Source organism: Homo sapiens, chromosome 5 (assembly GCF_000001405.40).
Source record: "Homo sapiens chromosome 5, GRCh38.p14 Primary Assembly".
In the NCBI taxonomy this organism is placed as follows: Eukaryota; Metazoa; Chordata; class Mammalia; order Primates; family Hominidae; genus Homo; species Homo sapiens.
Genome location: NC_000005.10, coordinates 177,590,647 through 177,610,555, shown reverse-complemented (window position 1 = coordinate 177,610,555; position 19,909 = coordinate 177,590,647). Strand labels below are relative to the sequence as shown.

The following is a 19,909-nucleotide window of genomic DNA, read 5'->3' as shown; positions in this document are numbered from 1 at the left end:
CTGAAGGTGGTAAGACTGCTCAGAAGGGCATTCGGGGGCTGCCCAGAAGCCTTGGTGGGGTGGAGGTAGTACAGGAACCCTCACACCTTTGGCTTCTCCTCCCCCCTGGACTTGTCGTCCCCGCCCCACCCCAATTCCTTGCCAGCTTGTAACTCACCCGTCCCCTTGCCCCTCAGCCAAAAGTGACATGTGAGCGGTCCACGACACATTTTGTCTGGCCTGCCATACTTTTTGAAAGTTTCATTTAGGTGCTATCATTTAAAAAATCAGAAGATATCACTTAAGAATCCAGCATTCTAGTTTCTTTCGAAAAATCAGAAGATCTGGCAACACTAGGCCCACATTCCGGCATGGCAACAACCAGCTAGAGCGGTGCTGGCTGTTCCCCCTCTGTGGGGCTTGTGCTCTGGTTTCTGAAGTCCTAACCCTCACCAGGCCCAACTGCCACCTACGCCAGCTGCATGGCCCCTACACTGTGTCTCTGCACGAGGCAGCCCAGCAGGAAGGAACAAAAGTGGGGGTGATGAGAGGTTGTCCTGTTCAGCCCTCCCCACTACCCACAGGCCTGGGCACGTGAAGGAGGTCAGAGTAGGGTGAGCAGGAAGGCAGGGGGGGTCCCGGACAGGACACACCCCAGCCTCTCTCTGATCACTGTGCATGGCAAGCAGCGTCCCAGGCACCCCACGTGTCCTGGCCCAGCCCAAGCCTGCCTTGGCGGCCGGGTGGCTGCAATTGCGTAGCTTGCTGTCTTGGTCCTGGCCACTCCACATCCTGTCAGAGCTGGGCCCACGACCTGAGGCCTTGTCCTGAGCCTGAGCAATATGGCCTGTAGGTACAGGCTTCCTCACTGTCCATCCAGCTCAGCTGAATGTGCACCAGGGTGTGGCGGTCTTGTCACAGTCCAACATGATGTTGAGGACAGTGCAGGGGGCCCCGCCCACAGACAGGGCAGTGCGGGAAGCCACATGGTACTTCACAGTGTTCAGGCCTCCCTCCCTGTCCACCTTGAACTGCTCCTGGGGAGGAAGAGAGGAAAGAGCACGGACTCAGGGCTGCATGGGTGCCAGCTACCCACTGACCCCACACAACCTCGCCATCAGAGGTCCTGTGGTCCCCACTGGAGAGGAAGAACCCAGAGCTCAAAGCAGTGAAGCCTCTTGCCCAGGGCTGTGCCCCACTAGGAAGCAGGCGAGCCGGGATCTCCAGTTGGATGCATAAGCCTCCTAGAGAAGGGGCTGTTTGAGGGTGGGATCCCTGCATCCCGGGTGTGGCTGGGATTCTGGCACCTTCAGCTACGCCTCCGCCACCCCACCCTGCCAGCCTGCATGGACCCTGAGGTCTGGGCTGACCCACAGTGCCCAGGGTGCCCACAGCAGCCACCAGAGCAGGGCACGGTGCCCAAGCAGAATGCCCGTCGACTGACCTGGGCCAAGCAGGGGAGGATGGGACCATTTGGGCCAAGGAGAACTTGGTGAAAGCCCGGGCCTGCTGGCTCCCCACATGACCACCTATCTGTCCCCAATGAGGAGCCCTGCCAGCACCTGTTTTTGAGCTGCGATGCGCTTCTGGTCCCTCTTCCGCCAGGCTGGGTCATGCAGGTGGCGAAATGTCTTGTACCCAGTTGTGATTCCCGAGGGGCGGAAAAGCTAGGGAGGTCCAAGGAAGTCGGGGTCAGGCTGCCCTTCCTGGAGCCCCAGCCCTCACCACCAGCTCCCGAGGTCCCACAGGAAGGGACCTGCACTCCCAGCCTGCAGGAGAGGAGACTGGGGCCCACAGGGCAAGGAACTGGCTAGATGACCATGCAGGGCAGGGTTAGGGCAGGGATCAGAATCAGGGCCATCTCCAGACCCCAGGAGCTTCATCTGAGGAAACAGAAGAAAATCTCAGGGCAGCCACCGCAGCTGAGGTGGCGGCGGGGCCCGGGGAATCTCACCTGGAGCCCAGCTCCCTTAATGCGCCGGTAGAACTCGTCGTCCTCGCGGCCCCAGCCCCAGAAGCGGTTGGACATCCCATTGCACTGACACAGAGACAAGCAGCGTCACTCGGCCCATCTTCCCGGGGGGGGGGGCCTTTGGTCTCCTACCGCTCGGGAGTGCCCCTCTCCCCCAGCGCCTCTGAATAAGCCCCGGGTGCTTGCAGGCTCCTGCACTTCTGCAGTGCGGGCGGCAGGAAGCAGCGCGTCCCGGGCCCTCTCCCGTTCTCACGGGGCCTTGAACCTGTGTGAGAGGCTCACCTTCTCAAAAACGGCTGGCTGCCCAGAGGGGATCTCTGTGGGGAACTGTCGATGGGCAGAAGCGCCAGCTCCTACTTGATTTCTGCTTCCCCCATTCCCCTTTCTCCTGGTGGCCCTGCCCTCATCTCTTCCTGTGTGTGTGAGAGGGGTAGCAGGGTTCCATGACAGACACCCATTCTTGCACCTGGCTCAGGGGCTTCATTTACATAAAGCTGGCCCCTGCCATGGCCTGGAGAGGAGGACACCCAGGCCTGAGCCACAAGTGCTTCTTCCTGCCTGCCCGTCCACCAGCCAGTGACTGGCTGAGGGGTGGGCTCAGCACTCAAGCCGGCCAATCAAGAGCCAGTGCAGCTCACTGCGGGACTCCTGCCTGAGCTACAAGGGAAGGGCCCCATCTCCCACCAGCCCGGGGCCTAGATGGATACAGACTGCAGTAACAACCACCACCTTGCCAATAAACCCAGTGCAGGGAAGGAGAGCTGGGAGATGCACAGAGAAACAGGGTCCTGGTGACACTGTCTGAGAGGTGGGCAAGGTACACCTGAACCGCCCCTACACTCTTCAGTGTTAAGGGCCACTAACCACCCAGGTTTCTGAAGCCCCCGTGCAAGCAGTTCTGCTGCTGCGGCTGACTGGCTCGCCTGCTCTTCGCACTCTGGCTGCTCCCAAGTTCTCCTGCTAGGCCAGGGCAGGGCTCCATCTGCTGGGCCCCAGAGGCACTGCCCCATCCTTCCCACCACCCGCAGCCTGGAGGGAGCTCCCGGCTCTGAGCAGAGCAGGCTGTCCGGGCCTCACCAGCCGGTAGTGCTGCTTGGAGAGCAGCAGGATGCCGCCGACATAGGTCTTGTAGTGGTAGAGAGGGTGGAGCTCCGGGGAGGCCACGTGGAAGGGCCCAGCCTCAGGAAAGCCATAGTCCAGCTCCTCGTTGAGAGGGAGCAGGTCAACGTCGTGCATGGCAATGTAGTCCGTGCTGTTGCTGCTCTCCAGGAAGCCCACGTTGATGAGCGCTGCCCGGTTGAACCTGTGCAGGGTGGGCAAGGCTGGGCAGGGGCAGCACACGGGCTCACTGCCTGGGGCTCAGCACCCACCCGGGGGTCCCCATGGTGCCTATGCTGCCCTCTGGCCCAGCACTGACTTCACTCAGCCTGTGGGGCAGTCCCTCCACTCATCGCATATTTACTAAGCACCCACTATGTGCCAGAAACCATTCAAAGCACGGGAGGTACAGCAGTGAAAAACCAGGCCCTGTTCTCAAGGAACTGAGATTCCAATAGAAGGAAACAGAAACAAGCAAACACAAAGCGTGGCCAGCAGTGGTTCGTGCTGGGGGGAAAAGCAAAGCAGGCAAGGAGGGCGATCTTGCTGGGGGTGGAGGTGGCTCTTGTCCTCGGTGGGGCCGTCAGGGAGGGCCAGGGGAACTGAGTGACAGAAACCTGAAGGCCTGAAGAGATGACCCACAGGGCAGTGGGTGCCTAGGGCTCTGCATAGGAGAGATGGCACTGCCACGGCAGGAGGCAGGAGCAGACCAACGGGCAGCTGGGCAGGGCGAGGGCAGAGGTGGGGATGTTGGGGGTGACACAGTGACTGCACAAGGCCCAAGGGCCACTGAAGGACGGGGCTTTGACTCGGGTAAGATGGGTGCCATGGAGGCTCTGAGCAGGGTAGAGGCGTGCTGTGACTTATGCCTGGACAGGACCGCCCTAGCTGTTGTGCTGGAAGAGACTGTCAGAGCAGGGGTGAAAGCAGGGAGACCAGCTGGGAGACTATGGCAATGATTTAGGTGAGAGACCAAAAGATGAAGGTGGCCTAGCTCAGGAGGTGGCAGTGGCAACAGCGAGAAGCGGGCAGATTCTAGATGGATTTTGCTGACGAATAGGACGCAGTGTATGACAGAGAAGGAGCAGCTGAGGATGACCCCCGGGCTTTTGGGCTTGAGCAATGAGAGCAAAGAGCTTCCATTCCCATGGAGAAGAGGACAGAGCTACAGGTTTGGGGCAGGGCAGGCCACCAGCAATTCAGCTGTGATCATGGAAGCTTGCAGTAGCTCTGAGGCCACCACGTGGAGGGACTGTGTAGATGGCTGGGCTGTTGAGCCTGGAGTTTAGGAGAGAACTCCAGGAAACAGCCTCAGGAATCATCAGAGACGTGGTTTAATGCTGGAGATGACATGAGATGCCCCAAGGAACACCTGGAGTTAAAAAAGGGGGGCTGCCGAAGCACCGAGTCCAGAGAAGCCCCGATGGTGAGAGCTCGGGGAGATGAGCAGAACCCACAGACACAGAGGCCCAGCCAGTGCAGAGGGAGGACCAGAGGGTGCTGCCCCAAGCAGGGGCATTTTACGAAAGAAGATGCTGCTGGCAGGTCCACAGGATGAGGGCCCAGCATGGCCTCTGGACCAACAGAGTGGAGGAGGTGGCTGGTGACCTCAGTGAGAGCTGCTCTGTGCCATGGTGGGTGCAGGAGTCTGAGCGGAAGGGGTTCAAGAGAGACGAGGGGAGAGAAAGGGAAGGAGGTCTGCCAGAAAGCAGAGAAGGGTGACAGCCTCGAGGGATGTGGGATCCAGGGAGTCTTTTTCCTTTGAGAGAGGAGCCACTTCAGGGTGTGTGTGCTCATGGGTATGCTCCAGGAGAGGAACGCTGATCGAGAGGGAGAGGAAGGGCCCAACTGTGGGGTGGGGGGAAATACTGAAGGATGGGGATGGTGGGAGTCAGCCCGGACAGAAGCTGGAACAGCCTTGAGTCCCTGTGCACAGAGGCTGGCAGGTGAGTTGTGGAGGGAACTGGGGAAAGTTCTCTTCCATTTCATTCTGTTTTCTGAAATTGGAAGCAAAGTCGTCAGCTATGAGTGAGGACGAGGGATGAATGAGGAGAACAGATAGTTTTAAAGGCTGCAGTGGACAGACCAGAGGAAAGTGAGGCTCCCAGCAGGGCAGAGGGCCTTCCTGGCAGGGGCATCATCGGCATGGGGACAGCAGCATGGCCGCCTCACGTGTTGTCTTTCCTCTCCATACCCTCCAGTGCCCAGGCACAGGTGTGGAGCAGAGAGCTGGAGTAAATCAGGCTGGGATTACGCCAGCAGCAAGGGACCAGAGGCTTGAGGGAGTATGCCAGGGAGGGTTTTAATGATGGACCTTGGACTCCAGGTTGGGTAAGGAGGAAGTAAAGACAAGAAGGGTGGCAGGGAAAAGGGGGGGGTCTGGGGATCTGGATCAAGGGGACTTGAAAAGGTGGGAAGATCAGGCTGGTGGGGCTGAGAATCCATCTTCCAGTGGGAGTTACCTAGAGGGAAAGGAGGTGGGGGCTGGTGGGTGAGATCTCAGGCTGTGGTCATGGAAGGGAGCACTTTTTGGTAAGGGCAGGGATTTTAGGATAACGCCAGACTGTGGGCAACTTTAAAGCCGTGGCCTTGACCCTCCCTTTCCCTAATCCCCGGGCCAATCCCCAGGGAGTCCTGTCTGGGCTTCCTCCACAGCACCTCTCTCTACCCACCCCCCACCAGGCCATCAAGCCACTGTCACCGCAGACCACAGCAGTGACCACCTAACTGCTCTCCCTGCTTCTCCTCTTGCCCTGGTATAATCCATTCCACATACGGCAGCCACAGTGAGCTTTTCAAAATGGAAATTAGATCAGGGCCCTCTCCAAAGGTTCCTGTCACACCCAGTGAGAGGGGTCTGCCACCTCCCGCCCTCCTGCCCCTGCCCCAGGTGGCCTCTCACAGGGCCTGAGAAGCCTGAGCCCGGGCAGGGGTGCCGAGGGGAGAGGGTGGGGGCGGGCGCTACCTGAAGTGGTCCACCTGGTTGAGCACGTAGATGTGGTGCCGGATCTTCTTCCTGCTCAGGAAGCGGCGCATGTGGGGCACGAAGACCAGGAGCTCCTCGAAGCGTTCGCGGAAGGGCACCAGCACTGCCAGGCGGTGGGGGCCCCAGGATGCGTCTTCTTCCCAGTGCTCAGGGGGCGGCTCTGGGGGGCAGGCACGGGGAGGGCCCGAGGTCTCCTGCCCTTGTCCCCTGACTGCCCGGGCCACGTCCCCAGAGCAGCTGAGCTGCAGCCAGAGTAGGGAGAAGAAGCCCAGCGAGAGGCAGGCCACGAACAGGTGGAAGACGGAACACTTCCGAGGGAGGCCGCCGGAGAGCAACCCGGACCTGGAGCAAGCGCGGGACAGGGTCAGGAGGGCGGGGCAGGGCTGGCCCTGTGACAGACCCGTTCTCTGGCCTCCCCACGAGGAGGCTGCACATAACTCGTCTACCCCAAGCACCTGGGAATTAGTACAGAAGCAACTTTAATGTTTCTGCTCATGCCACTACCATGCATCCGAATCCTGCTTGCCTCTCTAGACCCAACCCATGCCACCCGCTCTCGGGAAGCCCTCTGAACCACTCCCAGTTCACAGAGCTGCCCCGGCTCCTCAATGCTCTCTTACTTTCTGTGACTGAGTCCTGGTCAGAGCTGCTCAGGGCAAGGATGAGGAGGCTCCTGTCACTTGCAGGTGCTCCTCCCCACGATAGTGGCTCAATGTCCTGAGCCAATGACAGGAGTCCCCACCTTAGAGATGCAACCCACTGCTTTCCAAACCCGCTCCCCTACAGATCCACCCCAGCAGAAACCGTGGCTCCATCCTGCTTCCAAGAATGACCAGAAAGGCCACCCAGACACGGGTGTGTGCTGGCATTAGTCCAGGTAAAATGACCAATGTTTACTCTGGGAAGATCAGACGTGCCCCCCGAAGCAATGCAAGGCCCAAACTGTCAGTGGCGGTTCACTGAACGAGCCTCAAACCTTTAGTCCAAGAGGCAGCTCATGATAAAAGATGGGAGATGGAGAGGGAAAGAAAGATGAGGGCTGGGTACAGCACAGGCACTGATTTCAGAAACTGGAAAAACAGCTGAACATCACAGACACTGGGGTGATGCCAGGAGACAGCCTTTTGGTTAGCAAATACAAAGAAACAGAATTCACCAGATTCCTTTGCCGCTCCTCTGGAAGTTCCTGAGTATGCTGAGACAGGAGCTGAGGAATCCATGAAGGGAGAAGCTTCCTCTGTACTCCCCCTACCTTCTCCCCAAAGTAATCTGCAAAGGAATCCACTTCACAATCTTAAGAGTCAGCGATTAGCTATCAGGTCTTATAAATTCTATCTCCTGGCCAGGCGTGGTGGCTCACGCCTGTAATCCCAGCACTTTGGGAGGCCGAGGCAGGTGCATCACGAGGTCAGGAGCTCAAGACCAGCCTGGCAAATATGGTAACACCCCATCTCTACTAAAAATACAAAAATTAGCTGGGTGTGGTGGTACGCGCCTATAGTCCCAGCTACTTGGGAGGCTGAGGCAGAAGCATAGCTTGAATCTGGGAGGCGGAGGTTGCAGTGAGCTGAGATCACGCCACTGCACTCCAGCCTGGGCAACAGAGCGAGACTCCATCTCATAAATAAATAAATAAATAAATAAATTCTATCTCCTAAGTCCCCCTCTGATCCTTCCTCACTCATCTGTTCCTTGCCCTGCTCAGACCCCTTCAGTCTTCTGAATGACCCTCCTCTGTTTGCCAGACAAAGGCCAAGCCCTTTGGCCTGACAGTCAAAGCCCTCCATGACCTGGCCCCAACTCCAGGTGCTCCCAAGCCTTCGCCCCATGTTCTCATGTTGGGCACCTCGGAGCTTCTCCACTTGCTATATTCCTTCCTGCTCCAGCCCTCACACAGCCTGCTCCTTCTGCCTGAAATGTCCTTCTTTATCTGCCTGAGGACCCCTGTTGATCCTTCAGAGCCGAACTCCAATGTCATGGCCAGCACTGCCCCCTGCCCCCATAATGCTCCCACTTTTGTATTCCCACGGCATCTTCCCACTTTTTTGTAATGCCTTGTGTCCTTGCTTCTCAGGCCGTGTCAGATTCTTATCTGTGGCCCCAGCACAGCAAGCACAGGCCAGACAGCAGAGAGCTTGCCAAGTGAGTTACAGAAAGGGGTAAGGCAGTCAGGGCATGCCTTAAGTCACATGCTAAAGCCAGACCAACTCCTCCCTTTTTCTAGAGAGACCGCCAACCTGGAAGCCAGTAGCCTTGCAGCCAGGCCCAGGTTCCACACGCAGCTGAGAGGTGGCCTGGTAGGAAACCCCCCAGGGCTTCTGACTTACCCCCCATTATCCTGTGGTGGTGGATTCAGCTGGGGAGGAGCACAGCCCAGTCCTGAGAGTGGTCTGGGAAGGCTGGAACCTCTACAGATTCTCCCTTGCCCTCTGGGCTTTTTCTGGGGACAGGGTAGAGACTGGAGAGATGGATATGGGGTGATATCCCACCTTCATGAAAAGAAGCAGTGACTATTATCCAGGGGAACGGCGTGGACTGGGTACTCCGAGCACGTCCACACGCTAATTCCCTCGGCCCTGCTCCCCTCTCCTATGAGGACCACATCCCCATGGGCATCATCCTGTGCTCTAAGAGCACAAACCGCAGAGCAACTGGATTGAACCCAGAGTCCCAATTCCTCAGGACAGTGGACACCGAGAACAATTGTTCCTGGTGCCACCAGGTGGCAAACCAGATTTGCAGTCCCAGTGGCTCCCAGGCCCAGGCCACCCTGGCTCTGAGGGGCAGTCCAGAAGAGGCTTTGTCTCCCTCATCAATCACTGCCCAAGACTAGTAAAAGGCGGATTCAAACCCAGGCAGGCTGGCTCCAGAGCCTACACTAGATAGCTACACTAGCCTGCATCAGTTGCGTGGATCTTTGCACCAACCCTGTGTCAAAAGCACAGAATTGACATCAGTAAATTTCTCTGGAAACAGCTATGGAAAAGGATCAGGAAATAGAAATGCTCCTCTGTTACCTTTCCTTTCTTGTCTCATACAGACCTTCGTACTACGAGGTTTGAATCCTCAGCTGCTCTGGTTACAGGACCTCAAAACTGCAAAGGTAACGGGAAGACAACTGGCACCTCCTGTTGTGCTAGGCAGTGCCATGCTCTTTACATGTGTGCGGTCCTTTAATCCTCACACAGCCCTGCAGAGCCAATACTGTCATAACTGGCTCAGTGACGGAAAGGCTGCGGTCGGACAGATGCAGGGGTCTCTGCTCACATAATTACGGAGGACTCCTGCCCAGGTCGAACGCTAGTCCACGCTTTCTATTATATTCCTGTTTTCCCCTTTCAACACCAAGTCTGAAAAATCCCCAAAAGTACAAGTTGTGGCCACTAAATTCCAGAATCTTATGGCACCTGACGGACTTAAGAAACATGAAGGAAATGAGGTGTCATTCACGAGGAGGAGATCCAGTCATGTGTTCTGTGAGAAGACTTACAGGGACACATCTCAAGTGCCCCACGAATGGAGGCAGTCAAATCGCTTTCCCCATTCTGCTTTAGTGAGAAACAAAATTAGCTAAGGTGTGGGCCAAGCTCGCATCTTTCACGTAGGGCCAATACAGCTGCACAGGAAATGGACTAATGCGTGTATAAGGAGTGTCTAGTACGTGCCAGGCAGTGACCAGCCAGGCAGAGCACGGAGCTTCTGTCTGGTGGGTTCTGCTGGTGGCCTGCGAAGGATGGGGGGAAGTGTTAAGGAGGAAGGGTAGGGTCTGAGGCTATATGGATGTGATGAGGAAGGCAGAGACCAGAGAAACGGAATACACGTCCTCAGGGATCAGAGACAAATTGAGAAACACAAATCCATGGTGAGAGGTCAGCGGAGTCAGAGACCCGCATGCAGATAGAGGGAGGCTGGTGGAGAAACACAGACACAACGAAACACATAACGAGAGAGACTAGCAAAGAGGGGATCAGAAACTCACAAAGGGAAGTCAATGGAGAAATACGGACCCACGGGCCGGGGGGAAGGTGCTGGGGGAAGGACGAGTGCCGCGGAAAGGGAGAGGGGGCGGGGGAGGCAGAGACCCACAGGGACAGACAGAAACCGGAACAGAGCGCCAGGGACCCACAGGGAGAACCACACGCCCTCACAGAAACCCGCAGACATGGAGACGTGATGGCCTCGGGTTCCCAGATTCCGCCGGCGGCCGAGAAGGGAGCGGCGCCCGGGAGGACGGGGCCCGGGCCCACCGCCGCCGCTCACCTGCCGTCCTCCCAGGGCAGCTGCGCCGCTTTCCTCCGCGAGGGGAACATCGTGCGGAGAGGCGGCGGCGCATGGGGCAGGCGCTCGCAGCCCGGCCGGCCCGGCCTCCCGGGCCTACGCGGCGCCTCCGCCTCCCGCTCCGCCCAGGCCTGTCCGCCCCGCCCCCCGGTCCGCCGGGTCCGCCGCTCCGGCCGCGCCGCCAGCTCCCGGAGCCGCCGCCTCCAAGGTTCTGCTTGCGAGCAGCGCGGGCGCGCCTCCCTCTCTGGGCGGCTCCTTCCTAGCCGCCCCGGGACCCGCCTGGAAGCCCGAGAAACTGAAGCCCAGAGGCCCAGGGCCTCCCAACAAATCACTGGGCTGGGACTGGACCTAAGAGTCCAGACTCCCAAACCAACGCTCGGGGAGAATCTGCATCTCCGTCCTCTTTCCGAGGGGAGGCGGGAGCGTCCCGGGGTCCCCGTCTCGGCCCAGGCGGCGCGTTCTCCGCGCAAGCTTGGAGGGGCAAAGCCAAGCTCACGGCTCGGCGCTGAGTTCAGCTGACAGCCCGCGCAGGCGTTAGGAGCCGAGCCCTGAAGACAAGTTGACTGAATTTGAAACCCGACTCTGCTTGCCGGGCGCGGTGGCTCACGCCTGTAATCCCAGCACTTTGGGAGGCCGAGGCGGGCGGATCACGAGGTCAGGAGAGCGAGACCATCCTGGCTAACACGGTGAAACCCCGTCTCTACTAAAAATACAAAAAATTAGCCGGGCGTGGTGGCGGGCGCCTGTTAGTCCCAGCTACTCGGGAGGCTGAGGCAGGAGCATGGTGTGAACCCAGGAGGCGGAGCTTGCAGTGAGTCGAGATCGCACCACTGCACTCCAGCCTGGGTGACAGGGCGAGACTCCGTCAAAAAAAAAAGAAAAGAAAAAGAAAAAGAAACTAGACTCTGCCAATTCAGCTGTGTTTTGACCAAGCCACATCTCTGCATCTGTTTCCTCACCTGGGTATATCAATGGCTCCTATTCTATATGGTAGCTGTGGGGATTCAAGGAGAAAGTGCAAACACTTGTGCAGCGCTAGGCACACAGTTCAACGCCATATAAATGACAGCTGTCATCCAGGAAAAGGGTACTTTGGTGGAGCTGAGAACTGAAGAAGGGAATAGGAGACTGAGTTCCCATATCTGCCCCGTCACCGTGGGAACTTAACCATCCCCCTCACCCCCAGCCCCCCCACCCCTCCTACTAGCCTCCTACCTGGGGAAAGAAAGCGGCAATTGTTAGACTTGACCTCCTCTGCTCTTCCAGGCAAACTTTTAAGTTTCCTAATAGATAGCAAACATCTATTAAGTTCTTATTATGTGCCAGTCATTGTTAATAGTTCTTACTACATGAGGGTTATCTCACGTAGTCCTTATCGGTAGGTGCTTATCCCCAAGTTAAAATTGAGAGAACTGAGGCACAGAGAGGCAAATCAGGTAGTTTGGTTGCAAATCTATGGGTTTGGGGTTTTTGTTTTGTTCTTCCCCACAATCTATGATCTTAATCACTCTGCTCCAGAGAGAACTTCACCGTGGGTGGGAAATGAATCATTCCCAGTAACCCCTTTACCCCGTAAACCTGGAAGTATATAATCCACCCATTCCCCTTCCTGTTGACTCCCCCAGGGCACTGCATCCTACCCCAGAACCGTGGTCAATGCACAGCCCATCTAAAGGGGACCACTCCATCCGGTTAGCTGTTACTATATCAGGATGAAGCTCTACTTCAGATTGTCAGATTCACACTCTCAAGAAATCAGATCTCAAATGAAAACCCAAATTATCTAATTTTTAAATGTGATATCCAGCTAAGAGCCATGTTGATAATGACACTTCAACTCTGATCTCTTTTCTACTTTTTTATTTTATTTTATTTTATTTATTTATTTATTTTTTGAGACAGAGTCTCACTCTGTCAGTCAGGCTGGAGTGCAGTGGCACGATCTCGGCTCACTGCAACCTCTGCCTCCCGGGGTCAAGCAATTCTCCTGTCTCAGCCTTCCGAGTAGCTGGGATTACAGGCGCCTGCCACCACGCCTGGCTAATTTTTGTATTTTTAGTAGAGACGGGGTTTTACCATGTTGGCGGCTGGTCTCGAACTCCTGACCTCAGGTGATCCGCCTGCCTCTGCCTCCCAAAGTGCTGCGATTACAGGCGTGAGCCACCATGCCCAGCCTGTGGTCTCTTTTCAAAAACCCACAACTCTAGTCTAATCATGAGAAAAACATCAGACAAATCCTAGCTGAGAAATCGTACAAAATACCTGACCTGTACTCCTCAAAACAGTCAAGGAATCATCAAAAACAAGGAAGGTCTAAGAAACTGTCACAGCCAAAAGGAGCCTAAGGAGACACAGTGACTAAATGTGATGTGGAATCCTGGAACAGAAAAAGGACAGTAGGTAAAAACTAAGGAAGTCTGGATAAAGTAATGCATGATGTTACTAATAGGGAAAATGTCTTCACAATTTTTCTGCACTTTTAAAGCTGTTCTTTAAAAATACTTTTTTTTTTTTTTTTGACATGGAGACTTGCTCCGTTGCTCAGGCTGGAGTGCAGTGAAGTGATCTCGGCTCACTGCAAGCTCCGCCTCCTGGGTTCACGCCATTCTCCTGCCTCAGCCTCCCAAGGAGCTGGGACTACAGGCGCCCACCACCACGCCTGGCTAATTTTTTGTATTTTTTTTTTTTTTTTTTTTTGTAGAGATGGGGTTTCATCATGTTAGCCAGGTTGGTCTCGATCTCCTGACCTCGTGATCTGCTCGCCTTGGCCTCCCAAAGTGTTGGGGTTACAGGTGTGAGCCACCGCTCCCGGCCTTTTTTTTTTTTTTTTTTTGAGACAGAGTCTCACTGTAGCCCAGGTTGGAGTGTAGTGGTGTGATCTTGGCTCACTGCAACCTCTGTCTCCTGGGTTCAAGCAATTCTGCCGCCTCAGCCTCCCAAGTAGCTGGGATTTCAGGCATGCGCCACCACACCTGGCTCATTTTTTGTATTTTTAGTAGAGATGAGGTTTCACCATGTTGGCCAGGCTGGTCTCAAACTCCTGGCCTCAGGCCATCCACCTACCTCAGCCTCCCAAAGTGCTGGGATTACAGGTGTGAACCACCGTGCCCGCCAAAAAACTTTTTTTTTTCATGTGGAAGAATTAGTTGGCAGCATGAGCCCAGATTGCATCATCCCATTAGGGGAAGCAGCCCCCAAACTTGTCTCCTTCTTCCTGGTCTTTCTCACACACTGCTGTAACCTCCCTCACATTTCTTATTAGAAGGTTCTTCTCAAAACTGCCTGCCCATTTGCCTCCCCCAACCCCCAACAGCAGCCTCACATCCCTGATCAATAACACTGTGATTCTGAGGTGCCAGTAGGGCTCTCAGTGGCTTTACCAGACCCTGGGTGATTACTGCAAAGGGCCCAGAGGCCAGAGGGAGGGGGGCAGGCATTTACCCCACCACCTGCTCAGTATTAAGCCAGCCAAGCTGCTGCCTTCAGCTTGTGCCTGTGGGTGCCTGCAGCCCCTCTTGAAAGGTGGGCATGTCCAAATCGCTTACCTGGAGCTCGAGGCTTCTCTAATCCAACCTTCCTTTCCAGCTTCCTCACAACACCCTCTGCAGCTGAAATTAAACACCCACCCACCTCCATTCCAGCTGTTTGCCTCCACTTCTCCAACCACCCCTGTCCTGCCATCTCCTTCCAGCAGAATCCTTCCTCTCCTTCATGGTCCTGGTTGAAATCACTTGCTGTTGGTTTAGCCCATCAACATCCTTGTCCCTGCCAGCCCAGGGTGGCTGTCCTGTAGCACTCCCCTGCTCAATGCACCTCCTTACCAGGCACTTCCTGGCAGCATCCATGACAATCCTGCTTACTGACTCTAGAAAGAGGGAACTTCACCAGGGAGCTGGCACAGAGGAAAGGGTGTAAATTTGAGCCCCAGCCCAATTTACTTGTTGTATAATCTTGGACAAACCCACTATTCCCTGCCACAGGAAGGCCTGGAGAAGAAGGAAAGAATGAAGCTGACTGGTGGGAATTCACTTTGGAATGTGAAGTGCTTTGCTCTTTGGAAGAACTGGCATTCCCTGAGGCACCCTGCAGTGTGTGCCCACTGATGACTGAGTCACTTGCACTGGACAAGAAGTCATTTTTTTTTTTATTGGGAAACTCATGTAACAAACCTACATTTATTGAAAATGAAATCAGTAACTAAGACTCTGCAGGCCCCACCCCAACCAGCACCAAGGCCTCTACTTGGTCTGGTCCCAGTTCTTTAAGCCCCAGAATGGACAACCATGTGAAGCAGCTCAGGTCAACTGCAGGGCCACATTCCCACACTGCAAACCCCTCCACCCACCCTCAACTCACACACACCCTGGATCAGCAGGTCTAGGCTGAAAGAGAGAACAGTGAGGTTCCCAGGGTGGCAGGTGGGTATGACAGGCACCATACCCCAACCTGCTCAAAACCCTAAGTTAGCAAAGGAAGACAGAAGACTGGCTTGCCTGCCCATTCCCCTCCCCCCACCCCCAACAGCAGCCTCACATCCCTGATCAGTAACACTGTGATTCTGAGGTGCCAAGAGGAGGGGCTTTACCAGCCCTTGGGTGATTACTACCAAACGGCCCAGAGGCCAGAGAGAGAGGGCAGGAATTTGCCCCACTACCTGCTCAGTATTAGCCAAGCTGCTGCCTTCAGCTTGTGCCTGTGGGTGCCTCCAGCCCCTCTCCCTTCCAGAACAGGTATGGCTGGAAACCAGTCCTCCTGACAGAAGAAGTCAGTTCCAGGAGGTCCTTTCTCCCCCAGCCTGGGAGGATGGGTTGTGACGCCTGGGACAGCTACACAAGCTTCTTGGCTTCAAAGAAGCTCTTGAGGTGCCGCATCTGCCAGACACCGATGGCCACGAGGATGAGGGTCTGCAGAATGGACCACCACAGCACCCGCTGGTTGGTGCTCTCACTGGTCTGCCGGAAGCGCTCCTCTCGCCACTGCAGGGGAATATAAGGTGAGCCTGAGTTGGCTGGGGCTGCTAGAACTGCTGATTCCCAGACCAAGAGGATGCCCAAGGTCAGCCAGCTTTGCCCAGGTTCCAGCCAAGTGCCTGCAAAGTGTCACTCTACCTGGGGACTATCTTTACCCTCAGGCAACCTACTCATTCTCCCAAGTCTGTTTCTTCATCTGTCAGGCATAGCCCTCACCTAGTCCTGCCCTGGTGCCTGGGAGAGAGGTAAGGTAGTTGTGGTATCACCCCACGAGGCAGAGCTGTCCTGGAGCACACAGGAGTGGACTTGCTCTAAGCCCTCTGCCTAGGTCTCCCACACTGCTCCTTGAAGATGGTGGGCACAGGCTGTAAACTGGCAGGCTGGGGGCTGGATCTGGCCTTTAGGTATGTTTTGTTGGCCTCACACAGTGCACAGTCTTTTGTCAACATTTAAAACACAGGTAATTTGTGCAGCAGCAATAGAAAAAAATAAAAAATAAATTAAAATGTTCGCATAAAAATCCTATTTCCTCTTGAAAAAATGGAACATCTGTAAAGCCAGGGCTGGTATTTCTGCAAGGAAGCCCCCAGGTGACACTGAACAGTGGCTGTGCTTGTTTAGATGGGTCACTGCCCTACTAGTCCTTAAGGTCACAGATTCACTTATGGTAATCTCTGGTTCCTGGTCACCGGTAAGTTTGAGACCCTGGTCCTGGGAGCATGTGGACCCACTGAAACAGCACCCAAGGTGTTGGTATCAAATGCTACTGTGCCATTCTGTGTGTAACTGTGATTTAGGGCAATGACAGCCTCTTACGAGTCTGTATCCTCAATTACAAGGTCGAGTTAGTAATACCCGCCCCACGACCTACAATGCAGTGCAGGTAAGTCCCTTGGGGGTCTCAGAATGAATTTAATGTGAAATTCCTGGCTGAGCCAGTGGGCAGCTTCTAGGGAGAAGCCCACTGCTCCCGGCCCAGTCACTCACCCGCTGGTAGTTCTGCTCTTTCTGGATCTGCTCCACTTGTTCCACCAGCTGTCGCACTCGTAGCTGCAACTCACTCAACTTGTCTTTAGCAGCAATTTCTGCATAGTCATTGGCATGTTCACCTACCTGGATGTCCAGGTGAACTCTCTGAGGACAGACAAAGGAGATAAGGGAAATCTGGTAGCCCTGCTCCATCTTCCTGCCAGAGACTGACAGCTCATCCCCGACTTTCCTTCATCTGTTCATTTAGCCAACAGACTGGGCCCTCTTCAGTGTCTTAGCCCCATGAGGCTCTGGGCACACAAGCAAGTATTAAGCCTGGGCTGGTGCTCTGAGTGAGGCATGTACAAAGAGCTCAGTCACTGTGTCCTGGACATCCAGTGGAAACCCAGTGTTCTTAGGAGACACAAAATCTGACATAATCCTCTCACACCCACAGCACCACCAGTCCCCCAGTCCTCACCAAAGGATGAAGGCTGAAACCTGCAAGTCTCACATGGGCCCACTTACCAGCATGCCTCCAGCAAAGAGGGAGAACTTGGTGGAATTGGAGTGAAGACAGATCTGGTGCTCACCAGGGGTATGGGAAGTGAAAGTGAACCTGCCCTCGGAGCCATACTGCCGGGCCAGGATGACCTGGAGGAAGGTAACAAGCTTCAGTCAGTATTATGGTAGGGATGGGAATGGAGGAAAACAGTGCTTAAGGCTCTAAGTACTGCAAAAGTTGACAGGCACAGCCTTTCGCACCTCACAACACTGAAAGATTCAAAGCTGCTCAGCAGCTGTTGCCATATGCTTGTGTGAGAACTCTCTGGGGCAGGTGTTTAGACTCTGAGAGTCTGACATTAGGGTGGCAAGTGACTGACTGCTCTTGGGAAGGGCTTTCCTTTATAGCTTATGCCCTTTCAACTTTTTTGGTGTGAGTTGTTTTTTGGGGGGTTCTTTTTTGTTTTTGTTTTTGAGACAGAGTCTCACTCTGTCGTCCTGGCTGGAGTGCAGTGATGCTATCTCAGCTCACTGCAGCCTCAGCTTCCCAGGTTCAAGCAATTATCGTGCCTTAGCCTCCCAAGTATCTGGTATTAGAGGTGTGCGCCACCACACCCGGCTCATTTTTTTTTTTTTTTTTTTTTGTATTTTTACTAGAGACGGGGTTTGCCAGACGGAGGTTGCCCAGGCCGGTCCTGAACTCCCGGCCTCAAGTGATCCACCCGCCTCGGCATCCCAAAGTGCTGGGATTACAGGCAAGAGCCACCACACCCCGCCATGAGTTTTTTAACGAAAAGTGACAGAAGGTGAGAGCTGAAGGGTTTTGCCGTTCGTTTTAATATCCTTACTTGGGAAGATTAAAAGCTGCTCATTTTGTGGGGAAAGTATCATGTTCTGTGAAATCTTAAAGTCTAGATGACTTTAAGAGTTGACAAAACTCTTTGATTTTTATCACCACAATTAATCCGCCCATTTCACAGACCGGGCGGGGTCTGCAAGTCAGCAGGATATTCCCACAACATCAACTGTCTCTCCCACTTTAGCAGATGCAGGAACTAGAAGAGGAAGTACCGGAGCCCGCCTAGCTGAGAGGCTGGCGGAGAGGAGGGGGGCGGTTGGCTCACCTTGTCCTCTGGGTCCTTCACCTCCACAAACATGCCAAGCCCCGGGGTGGCCGGCTGGTACTCCTCCCGCTGCTTGTCATACAGCTGCGTCCGGTAGTTTCCTTGAGGGAAGCAGGGCGAGCCCAGGTCAGAGGAGCGCGAGGTGGCATGGGTTCCGCGACCGCCTGGGCACGGCGAGGCCGTCTCCTCCCGGCTCTAGAGAGCTGACTGTCTCGCATCCCCCGCCCCAAGACCACGGTCACGTTCCAAACTCGCCCCTTCCTCCCCGCCCCCGCACCTATGACCATGGTCTCGTCCGGGATCTCCTCAATAAAGCACTTCTTCTCCGTCTCTCCGATGTGAAAGTAGAGCGCGCTTCCGCGCGTCGCCAGCCACAGCACCAGCAGGAGGGTCCGCATCACTCTACCCAGCCCGGTTCCGGGCCGGGGCCGGACGAGCAGCACGCCCAGCTCCACAGCCATCTTGCTCCACCTGCCTGCGCAGCCGCAGCCGGCCGCGCCACGTCGCCCTGCCGCCGCCGCGGTGCCTGCCGGGACCGCGAGTTCCGCCGGGTGGACCACAAATCCCGAGATGTCCCGCGGCCCTGGCGCGGCAGTACCTGATTGGGGCGCGGCTTTTACCTGAGAGAGAGCGGGTGCCCTAGAATAAAAACTTATTTCCGTTGACTCTCTTCATGGCCTGGCAACTGACGATGGTTACCAGCTTTTCATAGATGAAACTGAGGTCGTTTGTTTGAGGTTGCGGAGCGAATTGCGAACAGAGACAGGATTCGAACCTAGGATCCCTGACTTTCCTTGGCACAGCATCTACCAGTCTTGATTTGCTTCTACCTTTAAAAATGAATTTAAAGAGAACGACCAAATAATGCACAAATGTATTATCAAAAAAGATTAAAAGAAATAAAAGGCAAGGTCTCCCATTACCACTTCTTTGTCCTCATACCCTGTCCACTCCTAAATCGGGTGTTACCCTCTCAAGCATTTCTCCGATCACACACACACACAAACACACACACAGCCTCTGCTGCCAGATCCCAACTGCAATGGCTCGTTACTAGCAATTCTACAGAAATAGAAAGGATCATAAGAGAGTACTATGAGCAAATATAAGCCAACAAATTGGATAACGTAGATGAAATGGACAAATTCATAGAAATGCAAAACTGACTCAGAATAGATAATATAATCTGAATAAACCTATAACTAGTGAGGAGATTGAATCAGTAATTTAAAAAAAATCATCCTTACTTAATATAGTTAAGATGTCAATACTATCCAAAGCAATCTACAGATTTAATGCAATTCCTGTCAAAATCCCAATGACATTTTTTGTAGAAACAGAGAAACTCATTCTACAATTCATATACTCTCAAGGGATTTCGATTAGCCAAAACAATCCTGAAAAATAAGAATAAAGCTGAAGAACTCACACTTCCTGATTTCAAAACTTACTTCCAAGCTTCAGTCATCAAGACAGTGTGGTACTGGCATATAGACAGACATATAGACCAATGGAATACAATAGAGAGCCCCAAGATATGCCCTCCCATATATGGTCAAATAATTTTTAACAAGGAGACCAAGCCCATTCAATGCGGGGAGGAGGGACAGTCTTTCTAACAAATGGTGCTGGGAAAACTGGATATCCACATGCAAAAAAGTGAAGGTGGTTCCTTCTCTAACACCATAGATAAAAATTCACCCAAAAAGACCCACAACTTTTAAAATCCCAAAGCATAAAACTCATAGAAAACATATGGCAAAGGGTTTACCACATCGGATTTGGCAACAGACTTCCTGGATATGACACTAAAGGCACAGGCAACAAAAGAAAAAATAGACAAATTGGACTTTATGAAAATTAAAACATTTTGTGCATCAAAAGACTCTGTAGCAGAGTAAAGAGGCAACCCACAGAATGGAAGAAAATATTTGCAAATCATATATCTGACAAAGGATTAATATCCAGAATATGCAGAGACTCCTAAAACTCAGCAACAAAATAAGAACAATCTCATTCAAAAACCACA

The 19,909-nt window shown here is 54.2% G+C and overlaps 2 protein-coding genes across 7 annotated transcripts, besides 5 other annotated features; both read right to left on the bottom strand.

Moving 5' to 3' along the window:
* B4GALT7 (beta-1,4-galactosyltransferase 7) lies at positions 226–10,424 on the bottom strand. Of its 6 annotated transcripts, none has more exons than XM_047416681.1 (7): positions 10,296–10,424; positions 8,363–9,130; positions 6,015–6,377; positions 3,029–3,254; positions 1,934–2,017; positions 1,542–1,646; positions 226–1,016 (listed from the first exon to the last, which is right to left on the bottom strand). In XM_047416681.1, the coding sequence occupies exons 3-7, from the start codon at positions 6,083–6,085 to the stop codon at positions 861–863; spliced, it is 642 nt and encodes a 213-aa protein (XP_047272637.1). In that variant the 5' UTR covers positions 6,086–6,377; positions 8,363–9,130; positions 10,296–10,424; the 3' UTR covers positions 226–860. The 6 variants fall into 6 exon arrangements, with proteins under 6 accessions (XP_047272637.1, XP_047272638.1, NP_009186.1 ...); XM_047416682.1 differs by having other exon boundaries at positions 9,078–9,130; NM_007255.3 differs by lacking the exon at positions 8,363–9,130.
* Positions 3,331–3,934: an enhancer, noted in NCBI's record as "H3K4me1 hESC enhancer chr5:177033623-177034226 (GRCh37/hg19 assembly coordinates)". NCBI's record gives its function as "activates a minimal SCP1, AML or CMV promoter by ChIP-STARR-seq in naive H9 embryonic stem cells {active_cell/tissue: H9 hESC(naive)}" and the evidence as "EXISTENCE:reporter gene assay evidence [ECO:0000049][PMID:30033119]".
* Positions 10,072–10,611: a silencer, noted in NCBI's record as "silent region_16704". NCBI's record gives its function as "represses an Ori minimal core promoter by ATAC-STARR-seq in GM12878 lymphoblastoid cells {active_cell/tissue: GM12878}" and the evidence as "EXISTENCE:reporter gene assay evidence [ECO:0000049][PMID:35858748]".
* Positions 10,792–10,971: an enhancer, noted in NCBI's record as "active region_23732". NCBI's record gives its function as "activates an Ori minimal core promoter by ATAC-STARR-seq in GM12878 lymphoblastoid cells {active_cell/tissue: GM12878}" and the evidence as "EXISTENCE:reporter gene assay evidence [ECO:0000049][PMID:35858748]".
* Positions 11,172–11,271: an enhancer, noted in NCBI's record as "active region_23731". NCBI's record gives its function as "activates an Ori minimal core promoter by ATAC-STARR-seq in GM12878 lymphoblastoid cells {active_cell/tissue: GM12878}" and the evidence as "EXISTENCE:reporter gene assay evidence [ECO:0000049][PMID:35858748]".
* TMED9 (transmembrane p24 trafficking protein 9) lies at positions 13,314–18,353 on the bottom strand. Its single transcript, NM_017510.6, has 5 exons — positions 18,158–18,353; positions 17,881–17,981; positions 16,781–16,906; positions 16,271–16,417; positions 13,314–15,289 (listed from the first exon to the last, which is right to left on the bottom strand). Exons 1-5 carry the CDS (start codon positions 18,339–18,341, stop codon positions 15,140–15,142), a joined length of 708 nt encoding a protein of 235 aa, NP_059980.2. The 5' UTR covers positions 18,342–18,353; the 3' UTR covers positions 13,314–15,139.
* Positions 15,949–17,148: an enhancer, noted in NCBI's record as "BRD4-independent group 4 enhancer chr5:177020409-177021608 (GRCh37/hg19 assembly coordinates)". NCBI's record gives its function as "activates an origin of replication core promoter dependent on BRD2, P300/CBP, MED14 and CDK7 cofactors, and independent of BRD4, by STARR-seq in HCT116 cells {active_cell/tissue: HCT116}" and the evidence as "EXISTENCE:reporter gene assay evidence [ECO:0000049][PMID:35650434]".